Genomic DNA, 27889 nt, shown 5'->3' with positions numbered 1-27889 from the left:
GTGGCCGGCGGGCCTGGGTTTCCCAACGCCCCAGAAGCCCTGCAAGGATCCCCGGCCTCCCCGGTGACGGCGGAGAGAGGAGCTGGTGTCCGCAGGAGGCCTCGTCCCCGGCCCGGCCCCTCTACGCCCCCAGGAACGGGATGTTCTTGAGGGGCTTCTCCGGGAACTGCAGGGCGTACAGGCGGGCCATGTACTGGAGCTCAGGCATCACAAGCCTCTGGCACACGCCCAGCGTCTGGTTGTCCAGGCCCGGCCGGAGGTTGTAACCCAGGATGTCGGCCTTGCCGGACTGGTAGGGGCGCAGGCGCGGGTCTCTGATCTGCGTGTGGTTCTTGAGCGCGCCGCCGTCCTGCAGGCACAGGCTCGCGAGTTCGCGCCTCCGGGCGCGCAGCCGCTCCACCTCCCCGCGCAGCCGCCGCGGCCCCAGCTCGGCGCGCAGCTGCGCCCAGAGGGTGCGGTTGAAATGCTCGTACAGGCGCCAGTCCAGCGCGCACCAGCTCCGCGCGCGCTCCCGGGTCTCGGGCGACAGGCGGGCCACGGAGCGCGCGCTGCGGGAGTTGAGCCTGAAGGCCACCACGTCGTCCAGCGCCCAGCGCAGCCGGCGCCGCAGCAGCACCAGGGACTCGTCCAGGTGCTCGGCGATGAGCACCAGCCGGAAGCGCCGCTCCACCTCGGCGATGCGCGCGCGCACGTAGCCCTCCTCGCACTGCGCGTTGGGGTCGAAGCCGAAGTCGAACCACATGTTGTTCTTGGCGTAGACGTTCCTGAGGTGGCGGCTGTCGTTGTAGAACGTCCGCGGCGAGGCCAGGAACGCGTCCAGGCTCGGGGCGCCCCGGAAGGCGGGGGCGTAGGTTTTGTAGTAGATGAAGGAGGACTCCAGCTGGAACACGGGGTTCCTCAGGATGGAGAAGTAGAAGGTGTCGTTGGGCATGACTTTCTGCACCTGTGTGGCGACAGAGAGGCGGGCTGCGGACCGCGGGCCCAGGCCAGGGTGGCCCACCCGCGGGGAGGAGGCGCGCCCTGGCCACACCCGCTCAAGGAGCACCCCCATCCTCACATCTGCCGAGGAACCTGGGCCTGGCGCCTTCTCGTGCGGCAGCTCCGGGAGCAGAGCCAGGGCCACACGCAGGCCCTGCAGCCCAGTCACTGGTTCCCGGGTGCCCAGAACAGAGGCCAAGGACGCCAGGAAGGGGCCTCAGGAGGAGGAGTCCGTGGGCAGAGCAGGAGGAGGGAGGAGGAGCTCCCACTGGCATCTCGAGGAGACCCAGAGGCCTCTAGGAGTGGGATGCTGTGGCGCACAGACAGCACGAAGGGCCCTCCACGGGCCCCTGGCACAGGGGGCTTCAGCACTCCACCAGCTGCCCACAGGCCAGGGTGACACCCACCTAACAGACAAAGAAACTGAGGCCCAGAGAAGGTCCGTGACCCAGGTTCCCCACAGGGTGGGTCTGGACTCACCCTCGCTTGTGCCCCCTCAGAGGTCCTGGAGGATATACCCCACCCACAGAAAGTAAAGTCTTGCAGAAAGTCACGCCCAACTACACCGCCTGCTTCTCCATCCTCAGAAACCCAGGGAGAGAACAGTGGGAGGCCTCCTCCCTGCCCCCACCCTCTTCCTTTCCCCTCCTCCCGGCCCCTCCTCCTCCCTCTGCCCCGCAGCCCCCACCCCACAGCACACCCCCGCTGCCCCGCTCTCTGCCCATCACCTCTCCCCACCCGGCCTCCCTCTGGCCCCGCCTGGTCACCTAGCCTCTGCTGGCCATTCTCCACAGAGCGCTCAGGGTGACCCTAAAACACCTGTGCCTGCCCACAGCCCTCCCACCCACACTCCCTGCCCTGCTTCCTTTGTAAGGAAGGTCAGGGAAGCCCTGGGGGGAAGCCGGCTCTATGCTGAGACCCAAGGGACCCAAAGAAGGGCCTGCAGCCACAGAAGCGAAGGTCACAGGGTGGGGAGAGCCGGGCCTGTGCACAACTAGGAGGCCAGAGAAGCGGGGGAGCGCTGGGGACGCCCTTGGGCAGGGGCTGTGGGGCTCCCAGGTCTCATTCCAAGAGCAACGGCAGGCGACTGGCCGCCTGGAGGGGCAGGGGTTGGCTCAGCAGGGCGTGCGGCCCAGGCCCTCCCAACCCGCCTTCTGCACGCCCCGCCCCCAAGCCTTACACTCCTTCTCTCCAGCCTCCAGGCTACACCACCCAGACCCACAGCCACAGGCACGGCTGCAGCCCGCCCTCCTCCCCAGCAGGCCCGCGGTACCTGAGGCAGGTTGAACCTCAGGTGGTTGCACATGATGTTGAAGCGCTGCTGCGACCCCACGCCTTCCACGTAGCGCGCCAGGAAGAGCCAGGGGTAGCCCAGGTGGACGCGTGAGCCGGCGGGCAGCGCCACGGACAGGTTGTGGGTCTCGGCGAAGCGGTAGAGGATGTTGAGCACCGTGCTGCTGGCCGTCTTGTGCGTCTTCAGGAACATGATGTTGGTGACCGGCGGCCCCTCAGCCTGGCCCCCAAACAGGCTGGGAGGGAAGGCACACGCAGCCTTCAGCAAGGGTGCAGATGCCCCAACCCCCGCCCAACAGCGACCCCCAGCCCGGCAACCGCAAGGAGAGACCTCCCAACCTGAGCCCCCCAACTCTAGGCCAGGGGGCCAACTGGGTAGGCACCGACCCATGGCCCCAATCCTTGCCCCACTCCACAACCTCCCAGCTGGTGGCCCGAACACAAACTCCCCCAACTGTCTCCCGTAACCATGCTCCCCCAACCCTGTGCCCCCGAGAACTAAAAATAAAACCCTAAATGAACCCCATCTTGGCCAAGGGGACCCCAGACCCACCTTAAAACTGAGTTCCCAGCAGTGATGGGATGGGAGGTAGACGCCTCGTCACACCCCCTCCCCTTTGCGGTTTAGACCCAGCAGCTGCCGGGTGTGAATGTTACATAGAGACCGTAAAGAAAATGTGGCACATCTACACCACGGAATACTGTGCAGCCATAAAAAAGAATGAGTTCATGTCCTTTGCAGGGACATGGATGAAGCTGGAAACCATCATCCTCAGCAGACTAACAAAGGAACAGAAAACCAAACACCGCATGTTCTCACTCATAAGTGGGACTTGAACAATGAGAACACGTGGACACAGAGAGGGGAACAGCGCATCCCAGGGCCTGTCGGGGATGGGGTGTAAGGGGAAGGAAAGCATTAGGACAAATACCTAATGCATGCGGGGCTTGAAACCTAGATGACGGGCTAATAGGTGCAGTAAACTACCGTGGCACGTGTATACCTGTGTAACAAACCTGCACGTTCTGCACGTGTGTCCCAGAACTTAAAGTAAATTTTTTAAAAATTAAAAAATAAAAGGAGACCATGGCCCAGCAGAACTGACTGTGGCCATAAGACGCTACATTATCAACGGGACCTGAGGCCATGCCGGGCAGGGGCGAAGTCACACACGCTGCACTTATTTATGTTCTACCTGCCACGGGAGTTTTCTTTTTCTCTGACACCCAAACGCTGGCCTTGAGACGAACAACGTTAAAGCAGGTGCAGCTCACCCGCTGCCAGACGCTGCCTCGCTGACCCCTGCTCCCCCAGCCAGAACCACAGCTGCCATCGGACAAGAGCCGCATTTCAGTAACTGTCCCCTGAGCAGGGACCCCCAGCCCCGGACTGGTTCTGGCGGTTTACAGAGGCTGCGCACCGAGTGCTTCCCGTCCCGGCTCCACCTTCTGACGTGCAGGGCCTGATTGTAACGCAGTTAGATGTGCAGTCTCCACCCCAAGGTGAACGTGGGTCACAAGTAAGTAACACACCTGTTTGTTCAGGACACGTGCGTCAGGACCCCCTTCATGAATATCCACAGCTCCTCCCGTCACCTGCTGAACGTGTACTTGGCCAAGCCGTTCAGCGTAAGCCCCTGTCCCACCCCCTCCCTCGAAGTGCCCGCTCCCAGCCTGGGTCGGCGGCTGTGCTCCCAGCCTGGGTCGGCGGCTGTGCTCCCAGCCTGTGGGATGTCCACACTTTTTAAGAAACAAAGTGTCCTCTCCACATTCATAGATGTCATGATTCTTCAGTTGACACCCCCAACCCTGGAACCCCCACCAGACCCATCACTGCACCCCAACCTAGAGACCCTCAGCCCCAGCCTCAGGGCCCCACGGAGACAGTGTCCTCAGACCCATCCCTGTTTCCCTCGGGGGCTACACACTCTGGCCCACACATCACCCCAGCCTTCTCCCTGGTGCCCAGGCACGCACATGCAGCTGGCTTTGTGACCTCAGCCACACGTGCAGTGCTTCTTGTCCCTTCACACCAGGAAAAGGAAGGACCCCAAAGCCGAGACCAGCGGCCAGATGTAGGGCTGGGCCCACTCCTAGAATCCCATCATGACACCCACCCAGTGGGGCTGGAGTAGCAGGCGCCCTCCCTGCCCCAGAACAGGGCCAGCAGAAGTGACCAGGATGGTGGGGTCAGGGTACCCAGGCCTGGCCAGCCTGGGTGATGGGGGTGAGCAAAGACAGGGTCCTTGGCACCTGTCTCTGGCAGCTCGGCCCAGAGGGATTGGTGCTTCCTCTGTCTCCTCCAACCAGAGGGGCTGGGGAGTGGCGGGGCCTGGAAGACCCTTCCAGCAGCCTGGCTAAAGCCCTGTCTGGAGGCACAGCTGGGCTGCGAGGTGAGCACAGGTGGGCACCTCCATGCAGCAGGGGCTCCACAGAGGATGTGCCACAGGCAGGCAGGGGAGAGGGTCCCAGGTGGGCCCATGGCTGCAAGGTCTGTCCTGAGCACGGTTCTGACCTTTTCCTTCCCAGATCCAGCCCAGGCCCACAGGCCACCTCTGTTGTGGGGAGCAAGAAGGAGGCCTCCAGCCCTGCCTCCCACACACAGGGACCCTCTGCACACACTGGGTCTGTCCCCAAACCCAGACCCGGCCCCTGCTCCCCAGAGCCCTCCCCAAAGGCCCAGGTGGGTTTGTGGCTAACAGGAGACTCTCAGGGTCCCCCCAAGGAAGGGCCCATCCACCCCTCCTCTTCCAGAGGGAGACAGGCCCAGTGGGGGGCGTGATCATGCTGGGGTCCCAGGCTCTGTCCTCGGGGCTGTTAGGAGGTACCCGGGGCAGGACTTATGGTGGGGGCAGGACTTACGGTGTGTCCAGCTCTAAGTCCGAGTGCAGGAATCCGGCCAGCAGGAGCAGAGTCAGGGCCAGGAGGAGGAGGAGGATGACCCGGAAGTATCTGTGGAAAGGGCAGGCCATGAGTGCCCAGTCCGGGTCGTGCCAGCCCCACCCCCACCTCCCATCCTGCAGCCAAGTCCAGGCCTTGGGCCACACAGGTCTGGGCCTCCCCTCACCTCTGTAACGTCTTGTCCTCAAACCCACTGGGTGCCGGCCCATGGGCTAGGGAGTCTCAACCCAGGACAGGCCTGAATCTGACCCCATCCCGACCACCCCTGAATGGCTTAGGGCCGGAAAGAGCCTAGTGGATGAGCCATCCCTTTCCCTGGGGTTCGGGAGCTGACAGGGCCGCGCTCCTGGGACCAGAGGTGGGAACAGGTCAGGGGACCTCTACCCACGCAGGGCCCCCTGGGAGACTGTATGGGACGGAGACCCCCAGGCCCCCAGGGGATCTGGAGAGGCTGAGAGTTTGGTGCAATGGACTGTGCGCCCCCAAAATCCACAGGCCAAACCCCTAACACACAGCGTGATGGTGCCTGGAGGTGGGGCCTCTGGGAGGTGTTAGGGTTGGATGAGGTTTGAGGGCGGGTGGAGTCCCTGTAATGGGATTCGTGTCCTTCTAAGACAAGGAAGAGACCAGAGTGCAGCTTCCACTCCCCACCCTCGCTCCCCATATAGGGGCACAGAGAGAAAGTGGCATCTGCAGGCCAGGAGGAGGGCCCTCCCCAGGAACCCGCCATGCTGGCTCGAGATCGCATGCCTTCCGGCCTCCAGAACGGTGAGAAGCACATGTCTGCTGCTGGGGCCAGCCTGTCTGTGGTGTCTGTTGTGACAGCCCGGGGTGACTGAGCCTGGAGGAAGCATGATGTCTCCAAACAGAGAGGCGGGGCCCACATGAGGAGGCCTGAGGAGGCCTGGCCTGGGTCCCAGGAGCCTAGCATAGCAGGTGCAGCCAGATCAGGGAAGAGCAGATCTGGGTAAGGCCTGACCGTGGAGTCGGGCGGGGAGCCAGGGTCCCCCATCCTCTGGGCAAAGCCCCCCATCAGTACAGAGCAGCCAAGGGGCCCCTCAGTGATGGGGTGGGGCTACCACGTGGGCTGTGTCCCCTCAGTGATGGGGGGTTGCCACGTGGGCCGTAGCGTCTCAGTGCAGGTCAGGCACAGGCTACGAGGGAACCAGACACCACACCTGCACTCGGCAAGCTCAGCATCTGGAGAGGACACAAGGGGTGAGCTTCCTGCTTGGACTGGGGCCTTTGCATGGGGCTTTACAGGGTACATAGGAGCACAACAAGCCAGTGGGGAAGGAGGAATTGTAACCAAGGCAAAGCGGGCCAGGGGGCTGGGGGTGCTAGAACAGCAGGGAGGCAGGACCCAGGCCCAGTGCAACGTCACTCTTCACCCTCCCGGGACGTGGAACTGGGTTAGGATCAGCCCCGCTGCTCAGTGGTCACACGACCATTCCTGCGCTGCCATGGGAGCAGCGGGGAGGGCTGGGCTGGCTCTGCCATGGGAGCAGCGGGGAGGGCTGGGCTGGCTCTGCCCGGCCCCACTGGCCCCTGCCCAGGAAGAGTTCCTGAGCAGCAGGTCCTCACTCCCACACGCTGGCCCGGCACTCCTCTCCTTTTGGAGAAAGGAGATGATTTTTGCATAAAACAATCTTGAATTTTAGCATAATCCCGAAGAAGAGAATTTTTAACTAAGAAGTCACTTCTAAAGTTCAAATGGACAAAAAACATATAGTGATGGCCAGAAAAATTCTAAACAGTCACGATAACGAACATCGGCTCTCCCAGATCTGCTCCATGGATCAGAATCAGTTCCACATGGGGTCAAAGATTTAATGTAAAAAAATAAAACCACTGAAGTCAGAGGATAAAGGAGAATGAGGCTGCCGTCTAAGCAAGACACAAAACCAAGAGGGTATGAAGAAAAGAAAGACAAATCTGGCAAACACGTAATGTTTCAGGCCAGGCGCGGCAGCTCACGCCTGTGACCCTAACATTTTGGGAGGCGGAAGTGGGAGAATTGCTTGAGCCTAGGAGTTTGAGGCCAGCCTGGGCAATACAGTGAGACCCCATCTCTACATTCTTAAAACATTGCTGTCAGAGTGTTTCAAGGATGGCTGCGCCAGGGCGGCCAGGTGCATGCTAACAGCAAACGGGGCAGCCCTCAGGGCCTCAAGCCCCCCGCAGTCCCCTCACCCTGCATGGGACCTCAAGGCACCCCTGGGGCTGTGGCCACAGCAGTGAGCTGGCTCTGGTCAAAGTGCCTGCCCCACCCAGCCACTAGCTGACCCCACGTGGGGCCAGCTCAGGGCTGCCAACAGCCCAGCCCCCCACGGGAACCACCCAGTAACCATCTACCCCGGGCGCTCAGCTACTGGTCAGGACCACTCTGTCTCCCCCGACCCCAGCCGATGGCCCTGCTCTGTGCCTCCCTTTCAGACAAGACCAGAGCCGGCCCTGCTCCCCCCGGCCATCAGGGAGAGAACAGTGGGATGTGGGGACATGGGTGTAGCAGGCTTCACCTATGACAGCAGAATAAATAACTTCAGATGAAACAAATCTGTCTTCTGCAGAAGCCGCTCACCACAGAAATGGGGTGACGACTCAGTTCCCATGACTGAGCAGAGCCCTGATACGTGACGACCATCAGCTCCGTGGCCGGCCCAGGGAGGGCTCCTGCCCTGGTCCTCGATGGCTTCCCTGCTGACCAGGGTGCTCCGAGCCTGCTTTGTACGTCTCCTGGCCCAGGTCTGGAGTCAACCATGTCTCCAAGGAGCTCTGGGTCCCGCTGGTAGGAAGTGGTCTTTAGGGACCACACTCGGGGTGCTGGGGTGCTCACTGCCCTGAGAAGGTCATATGTCTGGGCCTTCTCCGTAGTCAGAGCTCAGAGCTACACATACAGAGACGGAACCCCTCATGAGTCCACACCGGAACCCCCAGCTCCAAGACTGCGTCTTTCAACAGAACCTCTTCGTATGACATCTTGTCTCCTTTCTTCCACACCAAGGGTGTGGGTCTCGAAGACACTGGGGATGGTAGAACTAGGACCTCCCAAAATTTCTCACACTTCATCCTCACGGCACACGCGGCACCTCAGACTCCAATGCCAGTGCCACCACAGCCACGCTTCTAGGAGACGGGACAGGAGCTTCCAGGCCCTCCCTTCACCTGCACTCTACAATTCTTCAATGCACCCCTCCAGTCCTTACGTCAAAATGGAACCACCTTGAAGAGGCTCCCAGCGGCCAAGGCCCAGTAAACACTAGAATTCCCAGGCACAGAGAGGAGAGCGAGAGGGGCCGCAGAGCAGAGAGGGCCATGCGCCCCACGCGGGATCAGGGTCCCGCTGGAGACACCCACGTCTTCGTGAGAGAGGACATGTTTTCCCAAACCCAAACGAGGCCCCACACTGAGAGCGGAGCTCCTGCTCTGCCATTGGGCCACTTCTGCGGACTTCCCAAGACCCTCCCCGGGAGAGTGGCTGCACGAGGTGGGAAGGGCAGTTTTACGGCTCCGCACAGTTAGAGATTAACTCACTGATAAGGCCCACGCAGGACTTCACCAGCAGGGTTTCTCAGCCACCACCCTTGGCCATCACTTCGTTCCGCCATAGTCAACTCCTTCCTCAAACACCCTGCACCTTTATGGCCCCTCACTCTGCACTTTTATAGCCCCTCTGCACTTTTATGGGACGCACTGGCCATCTGTTTGAGATGCTGCTTTCACACTTACAATACCCCCCTTGGCCTTGCGGCAGCATGAATCTGTCTCTGTTCTTTGCAACTGCCCAATTAAAACAATGACGTTTCCAGAGAAATGCTACAGCCTTCTCAAGGCGGGCTCTTCCCTTTTGCCAAAAGACCTGCTGGTCCCACACCTGCAGGGGTCAGGTAGGGTGGTCAGTGTTGGAGCAACCGGGAAGGGGGTGACCTGGGGACCCAGGAGGTGAGCCCAGCCACAGGTGCCCGTGACCGACCCAGAGCACCGTGGGGCAGTAAATGGGTGATGTGTTCCACCAAGCAGAGAGATGGTGTTTCTGTCCTTACACGCAGGAGTTACACATTGTTACACATTCTTTAAGGAGAGCCTGTGGCTGCACTACTGGGAATTTACTAGAAACCAGCGAATTGTGCACTCTAATTGGGTAAATTCTTTAGTGTGTGAATTGCATCTCAATAAGGCTGTTAAAAAAATAAAAAATCAATTAAAAATGTTCAAGAGTTCAGCTGCTAAAAACCTTGAAAGCTGACGATTGTGGAGGGAAAATGAAATATTGCCAAAAATTATAAACCATTTGACATTGCTTTCAAGTGCCCTTAGCTTTTAGGAGCTCCCTGAAGTCCCCAAAGACCCTCCCCTCAAGCTAAAGCTGCCTTATGGGACTCACAACCGTGGGGACTGCGGCCAGGCCCTGCTGCCTTTGCTCTGGGGGTTGCCAGAGTAGCTCAGTCGTTCCCAAAGAGCCTCAAACTTCCTGCTGTTGGAGCCTCGGGACTTGGAGGCCACTGACCTGCTGCCTCACTGGGAGCGCCCAGAAGGTCTGGCTTTCCAGCTCTGGGCAGGTTGGTGGGGCTGATGGTTCCTGATCAGGCAGGGCCATCAGGGGCCACAGTGCACCAGCCCCAGACAAATGGCCCCAGCAAGTCGCTGAGGCTCCCCAAAAGAAAGAGAAGAGAGGCCTGGGAGGCACTGGCCCAGTTCCAGTGGGGACAGAGGGGACAGCTTGAGGCACCAGGCCTCGGCCCTGCAAGCACAACCCGGTGAGCTGTGAGCGCCTGCAGGACAGCAGTTCCCAGGGCATTCGGGGAGAATTCTGCAACTTCTCAGTAAGAACCCACAAAATATCTAAAATGAGGGGTAATAAAAGTCTTGGCCAGGTGTGGTGGCTCACACCTGTGATCCCAGCACTTCGGGAGGCTGAGGTGAGAAGATCAATTGAGTCAAGGAGTTCAAGACCAGCCTAGGTGGTATAGTGAGACCCCCATCTCTACGAAAAATACAAAAATTAGCCAGGTGTGATGGCTCCGGACTGTGGTCCCAGCTACTTAAGAGGCTGATGCAGGAGGATCACCTGAGCCAGGGAGGTCGAGGCTGCAGTGAGCCTTGATCTCACCACCACACTCTAGCCCGGGTCACAGAGCCAGTCTCTGTCTCAAAAAATAAACAAACAACAACAACAAAACCGACTTAAGACATCCCATCTCCAGCTCAGGGAACTTCTGGTTTTAGAAACCTTGTTGACTATGAGGAAGACTCATGCAAATTCTTATGGCGATGGTTTTTTACACTCCAGGATTAAACACACACACAAACATACACACACAATACACACACACACAAATAATACACACTACACATACACAATACACACACACATACATATACACACATACACACATGCATACACAATACGTACATACACATATACACACACATACACAATATGTGCATACACACACATATGCATACACAATATGTACACACAAACACAATATGTACACACACAATACACACACATATACACATATACATACATACACATATACGCACACATATACACATACATACATATACACACATACATATAAACACAATACACACATACATATACACACACATACACAATATGTACATATAATACACATGCATACACATACACACGCATACACAGTACATACATACACGTACACAATATACACACGTACATGTATACATACATATACACACACATGCATACACAATACATACATACACACACAATACACACACATACATACAGATACATACACATACACACACACGGACACACACATCCCCCTGCGGTTCCTTCTGACCAGCTCGCTGGACATGGATGAACTTTATGGCAAAATAAACTTTCTAAATTAACTGAGACCTGTCTCAGATTTGGGAGGTTCATAGGTTTCAGTTAATTTAGAAAGCTTACTTTGCCAAGGGTGAGGACGCGCACCCATGACCCAGCCTCAGGAGGTCCTGATGACGTGTGCCCAAGGTGGTCAGGGCACAGTCTGGCTTTATACATTGTAGGGAGACATGAGACATCAGTCCGCATATGCAGGACGAACATTGGTTCGGTCTGGAGAGGCAGGATGGCTCGAAGCAAAGGCAGGAAGACTCCAAGTGGGGAGGGGACTTCCAGGTCACAGGCAGGTAAGAGACAAATGGTTGCATTCTTTTGAGTTTCTGATGAGCCTCTCCAAAGGAGGCAGTCAGATACACATTTATCTCAGTGAGCAGAGGGGAGACTTTGAATACAATGGGGGGCAGGTTTGCCCTGAGCAGTTCCCAGCTAGACTCCTCCCTTTAGCTTATAGTGATCTGGGGGCTCAAGATCTTTTCCTTTCACATTTCCCCCCGTTTTCTCTTTAAAATCTTGGAGAAAGCTCTCCAAGATTTTAGAAGAAAATGAGTCTCTGGTCCCAGGTTTCATCTGATCTCTCATGGCTAGGATGGTTTATTCCTAGATGGGCAGGTCCTAAGTTATTAGGAAAGCTCATTTTTAGCAGGTTGTGAAGTCTCATGTCCTAGAAGAGAAAATAGGGGGAGGAAGAAAGAAAACAACAACAAACCAAAGAATAATCCTGCAAAAATCGATATAGGCCACATAACTTTAAAGTCCATACATTGGTAGGCCATGAAAGTGGCTTATGTATGAAAATAGGTTGCTGTTATTTTCTTCTGAAGTTTAAGTTGTCTGGCTTCAGTTTGCAGGGCTTTAAGAAAGCACAGCTTAGATTTTAGTGACTCCAAATTAGGAAAAATAAGGGGGGCGGGTGGGTGCAGTGGTTCATGTCTGTAATCCCAGCACTTTGGGAGGCTGAGGCAGGTGGATCACCTGAGTTCAGGAGTTTGAGACCAGCCTGACCAACATAGTGAAACCCCATCTTTACTAAATAATAATAATAATAACAATACAAAAATTAGCTGGGCAGGGTAGCAGGTGCCTGTAATCCCAGCTACTAGGGAGGCTGAGGGAGGAGAATTGCTTGAACCCAGGAGGCAGAGGTTGCAGTGAGCCGAGATCATGCCACTGCACTCCAGCCTGGGCGACAAGAGCAAAACTCCATCTCAGAAAAAAAAAAAAAAGAAAGAAAGAAAAGAAAAGAAAACAGAAAAATGGGGGGTGGGGCAAACAAATGAAAAAAATTGCAAACATTATTTTGAAGACTTGTAGCCAAGGAAAATCAGAATTTGGTCCAAACTGTAGAAAATAATAAAACTTGAAAACATTAGGCAAGACTGGAATCTAAAAATAGGTGTACCATAGTATTGAAACATAATTTTTCTCTCTCCAGTTTCCCATTTTCACTAAAGACAAATCATGGTAAGACTGGTTTGCTTTATTATACTTGGCCTAATTATTTGTATACAGTGCAGCAAGAATAATTACTTTTTACATAGGCTTTTAAATTGGCTTTGATGGAACATTGCTCCATAGGAGGAATCTCAGATAAGACTTTTTTAAAGCCGAGCCCAGCCACGAATTTGTGCCATCAAATACCTATGAGTTGAGTCATCCTCATCGCTTGAGGTTCCAGGATAAACCTGGGGCTCCTGGACCTGTCAGAAAGTGATATTCTTTTCTTGCCACAGGTCAGGAACCCTGTACAGGGACTCTGTAGACAAAGGTATGAGGCCAGTTTTTCCAAGGGGCTTTCATTGGCTCCATAAGTCAAGTTTGATTCCTTAAATGAAAGCTCACCATTCCAGTCAAAGCCTTAGTACATTGGAGTAACCAGTTTCTCCAATTGTGTCCTGCTGCAAAATGAAAACAAATTCTTATTGCACTTATACAAATAACTGTACTCCCATAAATTAAAAATACTCACAAATAGTTTCCAAATTCTGGGGAAACCAGGTAGAGAGTGTCGACAAAAAGAGTCAAATTGTAAAATAATTGCAGAGATCTATTCTGAGCCAAAATGAGTGACCATGGCCCATGACACAGCCCTCAGGAGGTCCTCAGAACATGTGCCCAAGTTGGTAGGGGTACAGCTTGGTTTAAAACATTTTTAGGGAGACATGAGACATCAATCAAATACATTTAAGAAATACATTGTTTTGATTGAGAAAGGTGGGACAAATCAAAGCAGGGGCTTCCAGACTACAGGGAAATTTAAACATTTTCTGGATGACAATTGGTTGAGTTTATCTGAAGACCTGGGATCAATAGTAAGGAATGCTCAGGTTAAGGTAAAGGATTGTGGAGACCAAGTTTTATTGTGCAGAGAGGGAGCTCTCAGATAGCAGACTTCAAAGAGAGAGCAGGTTGTAAAATGTTTCTCATCAGACCTAAAAGGGTGCCTGGCTCTTAATTGATTATCTCCTGGATCTGAGAAGAAAGGAAAACAAAGGAGAAAGGTGATTCTCTATAGAATGTGGATTTTTCCCACAAGAGACGTTGTAGGGCAATTTCAAGGTATGACAAGGAAATATATTTTGGGGTAAAACATTGTTATTTTCTTCCTTGTTATGCCAGACTCAGATTGGAAAGTAAATCATGATATACAGGGTCAAATAAAAGCCATCTGATGAGAATTTATGGTTTGTAGGACACGACTCCCCAGACCTCTTAGATAGGAATTTGGGCAAGATACAAAATCAGAGCTTAGTCCTTAAGAGAAACAAATATACCCCAAATTTTGTTCATAGGAGTATACTGAATTGTAAAAAGCTGTCAATAGCTCAAAAGAAAAGTTTTCTCAGCTCTGAAAAATACAAAAGAAAGAATCAGCAACATTTAAAGCAAAGGTCAAAAAGATTCTTTAGTCTTCTATCAGTTCAGTTTACACAGTTAACTCCTGTTCTGCTTGATATTCATGAACATTTCTGCTCTCCATGAGAGTCTGGAAAGTTTCTTTCTCTATTCTAATGCCACAATCCCCAAAGTTATCAGAATCCTATATGTAAGAACACCTGTTAGAGTTCTATAGCTGATTACAAAACCACTTTCTAAGGAGGACCAAAACAAGACAACAAATGTCCGTGGATGACAAAAAGTTTTAGGGCAACCATAGTCAAAGACACAATTGACAAGGAAATTTGTTTCCTCTGTGGCATACAATAACTTAACATAACAATTATAATTGTTATTGATAAAGCATACTAAGTTATATCAGAATTATAGGAGTTTTCCATAACATATGTTATAACTCAGTCTCTCATTTACCTATGAAATCTAAATACATAGACATATTAGGCATGCTGATAGAAGTACATTTTTTCTTTCTTTTTTTTTTGAGATGGAGTCTCACTGTTATCAGCCCAGGCTGGAGTACAGTGGCACAATCTCGGCACACTGAAACCTCTGCCTCCCGGGTTCCAACAATTCTCCTGCCTCAGCCTCCCAGGTAGCTGAGATTACAGGCGCCCACCACCATGCCCCGGGACGGGGCTTCACCACATTGGCCAGGCTGGTCTTGAACTCCTAACCTCATGTGATCCACCCTCCTTGGCTTCCCAAAGTGCTGGGATTATAGGCGTGAGCCACCACACCCAGCCAGAAGTACATGTTATAGATCCATAAAGACCATATTTTTTTCCCTATCTTAGACTTTCAAATTCTTGATAATCTGTTTCACAACCCTAAGGCAATTGTCAGCTAAATAGTCTTAAATTTGCATATTAAAGGAAATAACTCAGGTGAAAATCAAATAGCAAAATTTACATAGTAAGGTACGAAGAGAAAGTCTGGTGAGCTAGAGGGAAACTAAAGCAGATTTAATTGCCAATTGAACATAAAATTATATAAGTCTATTATAAGGGCCTTCAACTATACACACACACAGACATATACATCACACATACACACACACAAAGATTCTATAGCTTTTACTTCAGTACTTTAGCCATGAGATAAATATAAGTTCACTGGCTTGCAAAAAAAGACCTGCTAGATCGAAACAGTGGTTTTTATCTCACTAGAAAGGTAACAGCAGATTTAAAGCAGGCAGAAAAGAAAATGGGGAAAAGGGGACGTAAGAACTCTATTGGTTTGGGGTCGACGTTAGGGCTCTTTTTTCCTTAATGTAAATGTGCACAAAGACTGTCTTACTTCCATTTTACTCTGGCAAGTAGATGTGCCTTAAACCCTACAGAGTGCTCAAAAGGGGATCATTCTCTGTGTTTTCTCCTCATTCTTGGATTATTTGTTTCCCACTTTTTTTTTTCTTAAAAGGAGGAACTGAGCTGTGGCCTAGGTTTTTGTGTAGTGGATTGATGTGTGCTGCTTGTGGGCAGGACTCCACAGTGTGTCACCACTGAGTCACTTCTGCCCTCTTATGAGTCTCAGTTTCTCTCTCCAGAGGTCTATGACCTCAGAGAGGGCTCAAAACGCTGGGTGATCAGCCTTTACATGCGTTTCCTGGATGAACTATTTTTAAATTAACTTTTGAGGGGATTTCCCTGAAGGGCTGCTGCATGTCACAGCAGGGGTCAACCCCCTAGACACTCCCACGAGGCCCCCTGGTCACCCAGGGGCACCTTTGGCTGGGAGAAGCAGATACCTTTTCTCTTTGGAGCTGAAAAACTCAGTCTCTCATTTACCTATGAAAACAACAGTTCAGTTCAGTTCCTCGCACAAATGCACACAGACAAACCAAACTGAGATTAATGTTGGGAGAAAAGCAATAAAGAAGACCCTTTAGAATGCATCTTCAAACTAGAATTAGGATCCTTAAACAACAACCTCCTAGGAGAGAAAAGAAAAAAAAAATACAGCCAAGACCACTTCCTGTAAACTGTATTCAGCCACCCATAACTTTGTAGCTCTCATCTGCCATTATACACGCCGAGGTCAAATCCTCTCACAGTGCAAGGTCATCTATGGTACCCCCCAAAGCCAAAGAGGTCAGGTAATGCAATACAGGAAAACAGAGCTTTAGACCTAAGAAGAACCTGCCCATGACTCTTGAAACTCCACAATGAAGACAGAACACCCCAAAAGCGGTGAGTGGTGCCCTTGTTCTGAATTATTTAAAGGGGTTCAAGTCATTAGAAGCCTTCTCTAGAGTCCTTGGTACTGGAGATGGCAAAGGGGGAAGGAGGTATGGGGTGGAAGAAAAGTAAATGAAGGGACAATTGCTTTTTTAAGACAGAAAGCAAACACGTGGTTTTATGTTTGATCGTTCTTCCCCCTTTGCAGCTGCAAGGAATTTTAGCCAAATTAGAGAGGCCTTGTTACCCACAATTTGGAATTCTCACTCGGATTTGACCAAGTCAGGCTGAGTTGGTCAAATCCAATTAGAGAAAGACAAGAACAAACAACGACAACAAAATCCCCAACAATATATCACTGAGCACTCTGACGGAAAGGAGAAATTAAGACCAGCTGGTTGTCACGTTAGCCAAGACAGAACCCCAGTTCAGTTACTTACCTAGGGAAGGGTCTCAGGTTGAAAACAGCTCTCTACCATCCTAGAGCAGGAAAAGAAACTCATCTTCTCTGTTGGAAGTGAGCTCAAACTCCATAAAGGAGTTACCTGCCTTCCATCGTCATGGAAGCAGTAGAACTGGCCCTCCTTGTTGGAAGCAAGTAAAACTCCAAAAAAAAAAAAAAAAAGGAGGAGAAGTTGTACAGCAAAATAAACTTTATATCTTGACCAATTTGGGGAGATTAGGGAGTCTCTGGAGGGGGTGCTCCCGGACATCAGCAAATTATCCTATTGATTTGAGCCATAAAGTTAGCTCATGCCAATACCAAGCACCAATAGATTTGTCAAAGGTCAGAATCCCTCTGTGGTTACCAAAATGTGAACCTAAAAATTTGAGACACGTCTCAGTTAATTTAGAAAGCTTATTGCGCCAAGGTTGACGATGCGCATTTGTTTGCCAGCCTCAGGAAGTCCTGACCACATGTGTCCAAGGTAGTCAGAGCACAGCTTAGCTTTTTTTTATGTATACATTGTAGGGCGACATGAGACATCAATCAACATATGCAAGATGAACATTGGTTTGGTCTGGGAAGGTGTGACAACTAGAAGCAAAATGGGACAACTTGAAGCAGGGAAGGGCTTCCAGGTCATAGGTAGATAAGAGACAAACAGTTGCATTCTTTTGAGTTTCTGATTACCCTCTCTGAGTTTCTGATGAGCCTCTTCAAAGGATGCAATCAGATATGCATTTGTCTCAGTGAGCAGAGGGGAGACTTTGAAGAGAACGGGAGGCAGGTTGGCCCTAAGCAGTTCCCAGTTTGACATTTTGCTTTAGCTTAGTGATTTCAGGGGCCCAAGATATTTTCCTTTTGTAGACCTATCTCAAATTTTCAGGGTTTGCATTTCGGTAACCATGGAGGGATTCTGGGTGGAGATGTCCCTGACCTTTGGCAAACCTCCTATCGGAGCTTGGTACTGACATGAGCTAACTTTATGGCTCAAACCAATAGGACAATTTGCTGAGGTCTGGGAGCACCCCCTCCAAAAAATCCCTGATCTCCCAAAATTTGGTCAAGATCTAAAGTTTATTTTGCTGTACAACTCCCTATTTTTTTGGAGTTTTACTTGCTTCCAACAAGGAGGGCCAGTTCTCCTGCTTCCATGACGATGGAAGGCAGGTAACTCCTTTATGGAGTTTGAGATTGTTTCCAACAGGGAAGATGAGGTTTTCTTTTTTTCCTGCTTCTAAGATGGTAGAGAGTATCAGCCTGAGACCCATCCCTAGGTTAAGTAGCCGAATTGGGGTTCTGTCTTGGCTAAAGTTATCAACCAGCTGGTCTTAATTTCTCCTTACCATTAGAGCACTCAGGAATCATATAGTTGTGTGATTGCTTGTTTTACTGAACTGTTTGTTGTTGTTGTTGTTTGTCTCTGTTTTTGTTGTTTTTTCAGTCTTTTTCCCATTGGGTTTGACCAACTCTATCCAACTTTATCAAATCTGAAGAAAAGTTCCAAATTATTGGGAACAAGACCTCTCAGATGGTTAAGATCCCCCCCAACACACACACACACACACACACACACACACAAAAGGTGTGTGGTGGGGGAGAAAGATGCCAGCCAAAAGAAAAAAAAAGAGGAAATATTTTTTATTTTGACTACTAAAGGGACTTTATTTACATAACAAGACCACCTTTTTGCTAGCCAGACCAAATTGAAAGAGCAATGTCTGTATTTCTGAAACAGCAGCAATTTGTCGCAGGTGAAATATGGTAATGAGATTTAAAAACATTTTTTTAAAGGAGCTCAACTGTTAAAGTCAGCTTAATTAAAAGCTAACATCCAAGGGATGTGTGTGTGTGTGTGTGTGTATTTAAAAGGCCTTCTTCATGTTCTTCATGTTTTTGGGTTTTTTGTCTCTCCTAGGACCTTGTCCTTTTTTTGAGCAAAAGTTTTTTGTTTTTTCTCAGTTGACTGAGGTCTGTTTTTCTTTATTTACTTCTGCTGTCTCTCCTTTATCTTGCACCCTCTGCTGCACGAGAGACCTAAAATAGTTTATAAGAGACTGGGGTTCCTTAAAGAAAACCAAGAAGGTGCCAGACTCCCTTTGGGTTCCCATGGAACCCCAAATGTGTAAACAGACAAGTTCGTCTCAGCTTTTTTTTTTTTTTTTTTTGAGACGGAGTTTCATCTTTGTTGCCCAGGCTGGAGTGCAGTGGTGCAATCTCAGCTCAATAAACCTCTGCCTCCCAGGTTCAAGCGAGTCTCCTGCTTCTGCCTCCTGAGTAGCTGGGATTACAGGTGCCCACCACCACGCCTGGCTAATTTTTTGTAGTTTTAGTAGAGACAAGGTTTCATCATGTTGGCCAGGCTGGTCTCGAACTCCTAACCTCAGGTGATCCACCCACCTCGGCCTCCCAAAATGCAGGGATTACAGGCGTGAGCCACCACACGTGGGCTGTCTTAGCTTTTAAACTGCTTGCTTTTGTATTGTGTTACCTGATTTATTGACTAAAATAGTTATTTGAAACAGGCTACTCTTGGGTTTTTACAGAAGAGTGTAGTTTAGACACTTAGAAACGTCTTTGTTTAAAAAAAAATTAAGTGCACTGTAAAAGCATCACATGATCCAGCCTCATAATAATTCTCCCTTTTTGGAAACCCAGGATTCAGTGTGGGCTCTGCCCAGAGCTCAGGTCCAGTTACAATATAGGTAGTCCCTGTCTAAATAAAATTGGTCTCCTTATATAATCCAATGGTAGATTTTTATAATTTTATGTTTGATTTGGCATCCATCTTTAACCTCCCTCTAGCACACCAGACTTGTTCTCTCCATATCATATGTTGTAAATTTTGCTATTTGATTTTCACCAGAGTTGTTTCCTTTAATATGCAAATTTAAGACTAGCTAACAACTGCCTAGGGTTCTGAAACAGGTTATTAAGAATCTGAAAGTCTGAGATAAAGAAAGAAAAAGTCTTTATAAATCAGTAAGATGTACTTCTATCAGTGTGCCTAATATGTCTATGTATTTATGTGTTGTGTACACAATGTTTCACTAGTAAAAATATATAAAGGAGCTCAATTAATTGGCTTAAAAAATAAAAGTACTTAGATACTAAAGAAAAAAGACTAGTCAAATGCCCTTCAAGTTCACACCACTTAAGTCAAATCTTTAATACGCTGGATTTTAAATCATTGGTAAAATAATACTAGAAATGTCTTAAGAATTTGCCAGCATCCATTTTTGTTTGCATTTGTTAATCAAGCAATTTCCTACTTATCTCTGCCAAATAATATAAGGTGTCAAAATTTGGCATAGGGGTTGCAAAACTATAAAGGCAGCCCAAAACAGAATGGTCTTTATTTGTGTAATCTTTAATAAAGAAGACTTTAGGCCGGGCATGGTGGCTCACGCCTGTAATCCCAGCACTTTGGGAGGCCGAGGCAGGTGGATCACGAGGTTAGGAGATCGAGACCATCCTGGCTAACACGGTGAAATGCCGTTTCTAATAAAAATACAAAAAATTAACCGGGCGTGGTGGTGAGCACCTGTAGTCCCAGCTACTCGGGAGGCTGAGGCTGGAGAATGGCATGAACCCGGGAGACGGAGGTTGCAGTGAGCTGCGATTGCACCACTGCACTCCAGCCTGGGCAAGAGAGCAAGACTCCATCTCAAAAAAAAAAAAAAAAGAAGACATTAATATTTGTTTAATGATCCATAGCTACAGCTTGAATTTAGTAAGATTACCATAAATTCTAATCCTGTGGCTTTAGACAGTCTAGTCCACAGGCAGTAAGGAGGTTTGTTTTGGGAAAGGGCTCTTATCATTTTTGTTTCAAAACTAAACTATAAACTAAGTTCGTTCCTCCCAAAGTTAGTTCAGCCTCCAACCAGGAATGAACAAGGATGGCCTGGAGGTTAGAAGCAACAAGGAGTCAGTTAGGGCAGATGTTTTTTACTGTCTCAGTTATAATTTTGCAAGAGCAGTTTCATAACGTTAAATGATGAATATCACAGTTTTCATAAATAAGTAAATGATTAAAATAAAATAATTAGGTAAATGTATTAGAATAAATACTTGCAGACAAACGTCATAATTTAGAATCTAAAGTTATATTAAATTAGATAATAGATATTTCATATTTGGATATTTTCCAATAAAAATATATTGAAGGAAAACATTCTTGCTAAAAAAAATGGTATCCTTTTAAAAAGGTGAATAATTTTTGTCTAATTCAAAGCTTAAAGTTTATGTACGAAACAAGATAGAAAGTTATAACAATACAGAGGATTTTTTGGTAAGAAAGCTTAAAGGGAAATAATTTCATATTAGAAAGAATCTTGTATGGTAAATTTAGTCCTAGAGTAAAATGACTGGTTGTTTAAGATGCAGGGAAGTTCAGGACAAACGAGAAAATCCAAACATGTAATGAATGGTTTATGTAAGTCACAATAAGAGGAATTATATTTAAAAAAACAAACACAAAAACTTTTATATGATCAAGTTGTCATATTATTATTAAGTTTTGGTTTCCTTAGGAAAAAAAATTGAGATTAAACTTTTTTTGTGTGGGTTTTTTTTTTTGGAGATGGAGTTTCACTTTTGTTGCCCAGGCTGGAGTGCAGTGGCACAATCTCGGCTCACTGCAACCTCTGCCTCCCGGGTTCAAGCGATTCTTCTGCCTCAGCCTCGAAGTAGCTAGGATTACAGGCACCCACCACCATACGAAGCTAATTTGTTACATTTTTAGTAGAGACAGGGTTTCACCATGTTGACCAAGCTGGCCTTGAACTCCTGAACTCAGGTGATCCACCCACCTCAGCCTCCCAAAATGCTGGGATTACAGGTGTGAGCCACCATACCCAGCCTTAAACATTTTTAAATTAAGGTTATTCCATCCACGTATCTCTCTGTATGCACTTTTAAAGTACTTGTGACACTGAATTACAGGACATTGACTCCTGGGTGTAAAAAGGACACCAAGTCCTGCTATATTTTAAACACTGACAGCAATTAAAGCCCCAGTAGAAGATGCCAATCAAAATAAACTGCATTATTGAAACACAGAGTCAGAAATTAAAGCTATTCAACCCCTCGGGGACAGGCATGGTGGTACACACCTGTAATCCCAGCACTTTGGGAGGCCAAGACACATGGATCACCTGAGGTCAGAAGTTCAAGACCAGCCTGGCCAACATGGTGAAACTCCATCTCTACTAAAAATACAAAAATTAGCCAGGCATGGTGGTGAGTGCCTGTAATCCCAGCTACTCCGGAGGCTGATGCAGGAGAATAGCTTGAACCCAGGAGGTGGAGGTTGCAGTGAGCTGAAATTGCACCACTGCACTCCAGACTGGGCAACAGAGCGAGACTCCATCTCAAAAATAAATAAATAAAAATAAAATAAAATAAAATAAATAAAGCTATCTAACTCCACAAGGCCCAGGGACAATCACAGAAGAGGTAGGCTTGTGAGATTATAAGGGCTGATTTTGAGAGATAAAATAAGTTGTTTCTCTATAAATTAATCATTAACGTCAAAGACACACTGATGCAAGACCAGCATATGGGCCTGTGCCAGATTAACAAGGTTTTCTTGAAGCATCAACCAACTCCTAAATAAAAGTTACAAAGGCTTATGGAAGTTGTATCTTATGATCAAGATTAAAATGTTATAGATCATTTATAAAATTTTGAAAAGCAAATTAAATTGGCTTCATGCTGTTTTTATTAGGGCTTATTGTTTGGAACACTAAGTCACCTCTCTCAAAGAATGAAGGCTTTTGCCTTTTTTGAAATCCTTGAGTTACCACCTTGGTTAAATGAATGATCCTGTTTTGTGATATAAAGTGTTTTAAACCTTTGATACTTGACAAACTTTCCAAAATCAAATTATAAATTACGTCTTTTTCTGACCTAATTAATCCTTTAAGACATTAGGTTTGCTAAAGTCCAAAAACGACATAGTTTGGCTTATTTGGTATAAAAGTTATACAGGAAGCATTGTCAAGTATGAAATGGTATTTGGTTTTCTTTAGGCTGTATTTGTATAAATATGTTATTGGTATGTGTACCAAAATTATGGGAAACTCCTATAATTCTGATATAATTTAATGTATGTTATCAATAATATTTATAATTCTTATGTTAAATTATACTGTGCCACAAAGGTAACAAATTTCCTTGTCAATTGTGTCTTTGACTATGGCTGTCCTAAAACTTTTTATCATCCACAGGCAATTGTTGTCTTGTTTTGGTCCTCTTTACGGTGGTTTTATAATCAGCTATAGAACTCTAACAGGTGTTCTTAAATACAGGGTTCTGATAACGTTGGAGACTGTGTCATCAGAATAGAGGAAAAAATTTTCAGGACTCTCATGGAGAGCTGAAATGTTCATGAATATCAAGCAGAACAGGAGTTAACTGTGTAAACTGAACTGACAGAAGACTAAAGTAATCTTTTTAACGTTTTTCGTAAAACATTGCTGATCCTTTGTTTTGTTTTTTAGAGTTAAGAAAACTTTTAAGTTATTACAGCTTTTAAGAATTGAGTAAAGTATACTCCTGTGAACAAAATTTCAAGCATATTTGTTTCTCTCTACCTGATTTATCCAGAATTTGGAAACTATCTGTGAGCATTCTTAATTTATGACAATACAGTTATTTGCATAAGTGCAATAAGAATCTGTTTTCATTTGTAACATGACACAATTGGAGAAACTGGTTATTTTACCAAGACTGACTGGAACGGTGAGCTTTCCTTTAAGGAATCAAACTTGACTTACGGACCCAATAAATGCCCCTTGGAAAAACTGGCCTCATACTTTTGTCTACAGAGTCCCCGAACAGGGTTCCTGACCTGTGGCAAGTAAAGAATATCACTTTCTGACATGTCCAGGAGCCCCAAGTTTATCTTGGATCCTCAAGAGGAGAGGATCACCCAACTCACAGATATTTAATGGCACAAATTCGTGGCTGGGCTCAGCTTTAAAAAAGTCTTATCTGAGATTCCTCCTATGGATCAATGTTCCATCAAAGCCAATTTAAAAGCCTATGTAAAAAGTAATTATTCTTGCTGCACTGTATACAAATAATTAGGCCAAGCATAATAAAGCAAACCAGTCCTACCATGACTTGTCTTTAGTAAAAATGGGAAACTGGAGAGAGAAAAGATTATGTTTCTTTTTTGTTGTCATTTTGTTTTTTTGAGACAGTCTCGCTCTGTCACCCAGGCTGGAGTCCAGTGGTGCAATCTCAGCTCACTGCATCCTCCACCTCCCAGGTTCAAGCAGTTCTCCTGCCTCAGCCTTCTGAGTAGCTGGAATTACAAGCGTCCACCATCATGCCCAGCTAATTTTTGTATTTTTAGTAGAGATGGGGTTTCACCATGTTGGCCAGGCTGGTCTCAAACTCCTGACCTCATGATCCATCCACCTCGGCCTCCCAAAGTGCTGGGATTACAGATGTGAGCCACCACACCCAACCAAAAAATTATCTTTCAAAAACTATAGTACACCTGTTGTTAGATTCTAGTCTTGCCTAATGTTTTTCAATTTTTACTATTTTCTGCAGTTTGGACTGAATTCTAATTTTTCTTGGCTACAAGTCTTCAAAATAATGTTTGCATTTTTTTCTTTTTTTCCCATTTTTCCTAATTTGGAATAAGCTAGACAACTTAAACTTCAGAAGAAAATAACAGCAATCTATTTACATACATAAGCCACTTTTTTTTTTTTTGAGACGGGATTGTGCTCTTGTTGCCCAGGCTGGAGTGCAATGGCACGATCTCGGCTCACCGCAACCTCCGCTTCCCAGGTTCAAGCAATTCTCCTGCCTCAGCCTCCTGAGTAACTGGGATTACAGGCATGCACCACCATGCCCGGCTAATTTTGTATTTTTTAGTAGAGACGGGGTTTCTCCATGTTGGTCAGGCTGTTCTCAAACTCCTGATCTCAGGTGATCCGCCCGCCTCGGCCTCCCAAAGTGCTGGGATTACAGGTGTGAGCCACCGCGCCCGGCCACATAAGCCACTTTCATGTTTGCCTACTGATGTTTGGACTTCAGAGTAGTGTGGCCTGTATCGATTTTCCAGGATTGCTCTTTTCTTTGTTGTTGTTTTTCTCCTTCCTTCTCCTATTTTGTCTTCCTAGGACTTGACACTTCACAACCTGCTAAAAAATGAACTTCCCAGGGCCGGGCACGGTGGCTCACGCCTGTAATCCCAGCACTTTGGGAGGCCAAGGCCGGCGGATCACGAGGTCAGGAGATGGAGACCATCCTGGCTAACACGGTGAAACCCCATCTCTACTAAAAATACAAAAAATTAGCTGGGCGAGGTGGCGGGCGCCTGTAGTCCCAGCTACTCGGGAGGCTGAGGCGGGAGAATGGCGTGAACCCGGGAGGCGGAGCTTGCAGTGAGCCGAGATCGCTCCACTGCACTCCAGACTGGGAGAGAGAGCGAGACTCCGTCTCAAAAAAAAAAAAAAAAAAAAAAAAAAAAAAAAAAAAATGAGCTTTCCTAGTAACTCAGGACCTGCCCGTCTAGAAATAAACTATCCTAGCCATGAGAGATAAGACAAAACCTGGGACCAGAGACTCATTTTCTTCTAAAATCTTGGAGAGCTTTCTCCAAGATTTTAAAGAGAAAATGGGGGGAAATGTGAAAGGAAAAGATCTTGAGCCCCCAGATCACTACAAGCTAAAGGGAGGAGTCTAGCTGGGAACTGCTCAGGGCAAACCTGCCCCCCATTGTATTCAAAGTCTCCCCTCTGCTCACTGAGATAAATGCGTATCTGACTGCCTCCTTTGGAGAGGCTCATCAGAAACTCAAAAGAATGCAACCATTTGTCTCTTACCTGCCTGTGACCTGGAAGTCCCCTCCCCACTTGGAGTCTTCCTGCCTTTGCTTCGAGCCGTCCTGCCTCTCCAGACCGAACCAATGTTCGTCCTGCATATGCGGACTGATGTCTCATGTCTCCCTACAATGTATAAAGCCAGACTGTGCCCTGACCACCTTGGGCACACGTCATCAGGACCTCCTGAGGCTGGGTCATGGGTGCACGTCCTCACCCTTGGCAAAGTAAGCTTTCTAAATTAACCGAGACCTGTCTCAGATTTTGGGGGTTCACACCGGCATGGTGACCCCCATGGGCTCTGTACCACATCTTCTCTGATCATGAGTCCCCTCCTCCCCAAAGATACCTGGCCACACCCCAGGGAGGCAACACCCCCAAGTGCCATAGCTCAGAGTTTTGTGCCTGAATCATCACCAGCAAAACAAAAGATCAGCAAGCATCCAAGTGAGCACTTTGCCCGGCGGCCTGGATTTCCCGTGGCCGGTGGTCAAGACTAGGCCTCACTAGCGCAGGCAAAGTCTCTCCTCTGTTCTGGGCAGCTCCTTGAATCACCCAGGTGGGTGCCAGTGGCACCACACACTACCGTCCCCTTTGTCCCCAGGGCTGTTGATTTGTTCCACCCACAGGCCAAGCAAGCTGACACAAGCGAGGTGAGCCTCCCACACTTGCCCAACCCCAGGAAAATAAATGCGAGGCTCAGGAAGGCTGCTGTCCAGGGCTGTGGGGAAGTGACTCGGGGCTTCCCTCCTGCAGGCCGTGCTCAATGAAGCCTGGGACACCCGGAGCCAAAGCTCCCTGGCCTTAGTGTGGGACGTGCAGCCTGCATGGGCTGCTGCAGTGAGCCCATCCTGCCAGGCAGTGAGACCAGCAGCTGAGGAGCCTGTGCCCTGGGCTCCCCGAGGGCCTTCGGCTGCAATGCCTCCCATGTCTCACCCACAGAGTCTCAGCTGGGGTCAGGCACACCCGCCCTGGCCGACCTCGGGGGGCCCCAGGGCAGCCAGGGGGGCCCTAGCTTGGCCACCAGCTAATCAAGTGAGCCTGATTCCCCAGCCCCTGGGCCTCTTCTTCACAATATGGTCACAATGTCCACAGGAGGGGGCATCTAGGATGGTCCAGGCCAGGCAGCCGGCCCCACACCTCTCAGCCCTGTGACGGGGTGTCCTCAGCCAGTGTCCTGGCAGCTGGTCTTAAGTCACCCCTTAAAGGAAGGTAACTGAATTCATGGCGGCACACGCCCCGGGGAGGCAGGGACCTGCCAGCGCAGGGACGGCTTCAAACTGCCCTGGAATCACCCCAAACAGGATGGCGAGCAGGAGAAGGAAAACGCAAGGCATCCTTAGCCACACCCACCACCCCTCCAAACCTAACTGGGAAGAAATCCACCTCCCCTCTGTTTACAGAAGGGAGACAGCACAGCAGAGCCCAGCCTCCCCGTCACCACCCAGAGCCCCGGGAGCATCCTGAAGCGCACGCATGACCAACGCTCCAGCAAGCGCCTGGCACTCCCACCAACACGGCCCAGCCATGGGCCTGAGCCGCAGACCGAGGCTGGGAGGTCCCAAGCCCAGCAGGTCTCACCCTCCCCAGCCGTCACGCGGACACTCGAGCGTCTCCACGCCACAGTGTTGGGGGGCAGCTTTCTCACTGGGCCCCACATCCCAGAACCCCCAAACACCCAGAAGCAGCACCAGGCCTGGGCAGGAGGGGCCCCCTACTTCCGAAACGAAGCCAAGACAGGTGAATTCAGGGAAGCCTGAGTAGGAACAGCCTCCAAATCCAAGTCACTTCCTTCGAAAGACAAACAAAACCCACTCCTGTCCGTCTCTCAGAATAGCCACAGATGAAGCGCTTTGTCCACCTGGGGGGTCCAACTGCCCCCCTTACCTCTGCAAGCCGCCCAGCATGGACATCATCTTGGCCTCTGGCCTCCAGCGAGGGGACAGTCGAGGCTTGAGCTCCCCCGAGGTCCCACCGCCTCGGCCCCTGCCGGCTCTGGGCTCCCCAGGGTGCAGGCACAGGCAGGGTGCGGCTGTGGGGCAGGTGAACTGGAATCCCCAGAAGCTCACCTGCCTCCTGGGACGGGAGCCACGCCCTCTCCCCGCACCTCCATCGGAGGGCTTGGTTTTAACTGTTCTGTTCTCGGGAAGAACTGGCTGAGGGAGTCTGGGGAGCCCTCGATGGGCCCCTGTGTTCCCCAGGCCCTGGGAGGACCTGCCTGGGGCCTACCCCTGCTCCCCTGCCCCACCCTCAGTGTCCATCCCCCCGGGGGGCTTGGAGGGAGCTGTCCCCACAAGGGACGGGCTTGGTGGGCTCCAACAGCACAGCGACGGCTTCTGGACTCAGAACTCAGGACCTGACGCAGACGAGAGGGCAGAGGGCCCTGTGGCCACTGCAAGGATGAGCGAGGAAAGCTCAGCCCAATTCCCAGCTTCCTCCCCCTCCTCGTCCTCCTCTTCTTCCTCCCCCTCCT

The 27889-nt window shown here is 49.5% G+C and overlaps 1 protein-coding gene across 1 annotated transcript, besides 5 other annotated features; it reads right to left on the bottom strand.

Annotated features, from left to right (window-relative positions):
* Window positions 1-334: part of a meiotic recombination region, noted in NCBI's record as "meiotic double-strand break mapped by DNA meiotic recombinase 1 chromatin immunoprecipitation followed by single-stranded DNA enrichment and sequencing in the germ cells of some male individuals with the PRDM9 A/A, PRDM9 A/B and PRDM9 A/C genotypes", that runs on past the window's edge. NCBI's record gives the evidence for it as "EXISTENCE:chromatin immunoprecipitation-seq evidence [ECO:0000229][PMID:25395542]".
* Window positions 1-27466, bottom strand: GAL3ST2 (galactose-3-O-sulfotransferase 2). Its single transcript, NM_022134.3, has 4 exons — window positions 27304-27466; window positions 5134-5223; window positions 2252-2507; window positions 1-943 (listed from the first exon to the last, which is right to left on the bottom strand). The coding sequence occupies exons 1-4, from the start codon at window positions 27330-27332 to the stop codon at window positions 122-124; spliced, it is 1197 nt and encodes a 398-aa protein (NP_071417.2). The 5' UTR covers window positions 27333-27466; the 3' UTR covers window positions 1-121.
* Window positions 15352-16551: an enhancer, noted in NCBI's record as "CDK7 strongly-dependent group 2 enhancer chr2:242727152-242728351 (GRCh37/hg19 assembly coordinates)". NCBI's record gives its function as "activates an origin of replication core promoter dependent on BRD2, BRD4, P300/CBP, MED14 and CDK7 cofactors, with strong dependence on CDK7, by STARR-seq in HCT116 cells {active_cell/tissue: HCT116}" and the evidence as "EXISTENCE:reporter gene assay evidence [ECO:0000049][PMID:35650434]".
* Window positions 25551-26170: an enhancer, noted in NCBI's record as "H3K27ac-H3K4me1 hESC enhancer chr2:242717533-242718152 (GRCh37/hg19 assembly coordinates)". NCBI's record gives its function as "activates a minimal SCP1, AML or CMV promoter by ChIP-STARR-seq in primed H9 embryonic stem cells {active_cell/tissue: H9 hESC(primed)}" and the evidence as "EXISTENCE:reporter gene assay evidence [ECO:0000049][PMID:30033119]".
* Window positions 26171-26791: an enhancer, noted in NCBI's record as "H3K27ac-H3K4me1 hESC enhancer chr2:242716912-242717532 (GRCh37/hg19 assembly coordinates)". NCBI's record gives its function as "activates a minimal SCP1, AML or CMV promoter by ChIP-STARR-seq in naive and primed H9 embryonic stem cells {active_cell/tissue: H9 hESC(naive and primed)}" and the evidence as "EXISTENCE:reporter gene assay evidence [ECO:0000049][PMID:30033119]".
* Window positions 26792-27412: an enhancer, noted in NCBI's record as "H3K27ac-H3K4me1 hESC enhancer chr2:242716291-242716911 (GRCh37/hg19 assembly coordinates)". NCBI's record gives its function as "activates a minimal SCP1, AML or CMV promoter by ChIP-STARR-seq in primed H9 embryonic stem cells {active_cell/tissue: H9 hESC(primed)}" and the evidence as "EXISTENCE:reporter gene assay evidence [ECO:0000049][PMID:30033119]".

The sequence above is a fragment of the Homo sapiens genome, chromosome 2 (assembly GCF_000001405.40).
Source record: "Homo sapiens chromosome 2, GRCh38.p14 Primary Assembly".
NCBI lineage: Eukaryota > Metazoa > Chordata > Mammalia > Primates > Hominidae > Homo > Homo sapiens.
Note: the sequence above shows the minus strand (reverse complement) of the source record. Positions and strands in the feature narration are given on the sequence as shown.

Coding starts and splice junctions, on each gene's coding strand:
- GAL3ST2 (NM_022134.3), bottom strand. CDS start 27,332: ATGATGTCCATGCTGGGCGGCTTGCAGAG. Junction 2,508..5,133: donor GACTTAGAGCTGGACACACC/GTAAGTCCTGCC, acceptor CTTCCCTCCCAG/CCTGTTTGGGGGCCAGGCTG. Junction 944..2,251: donor TGAGGTTCAACCTGCCTCAG/GTACCGCGGGCC, acceptor GTCGCCACACAG/GTGCAGAAAGTCATGCCCAA.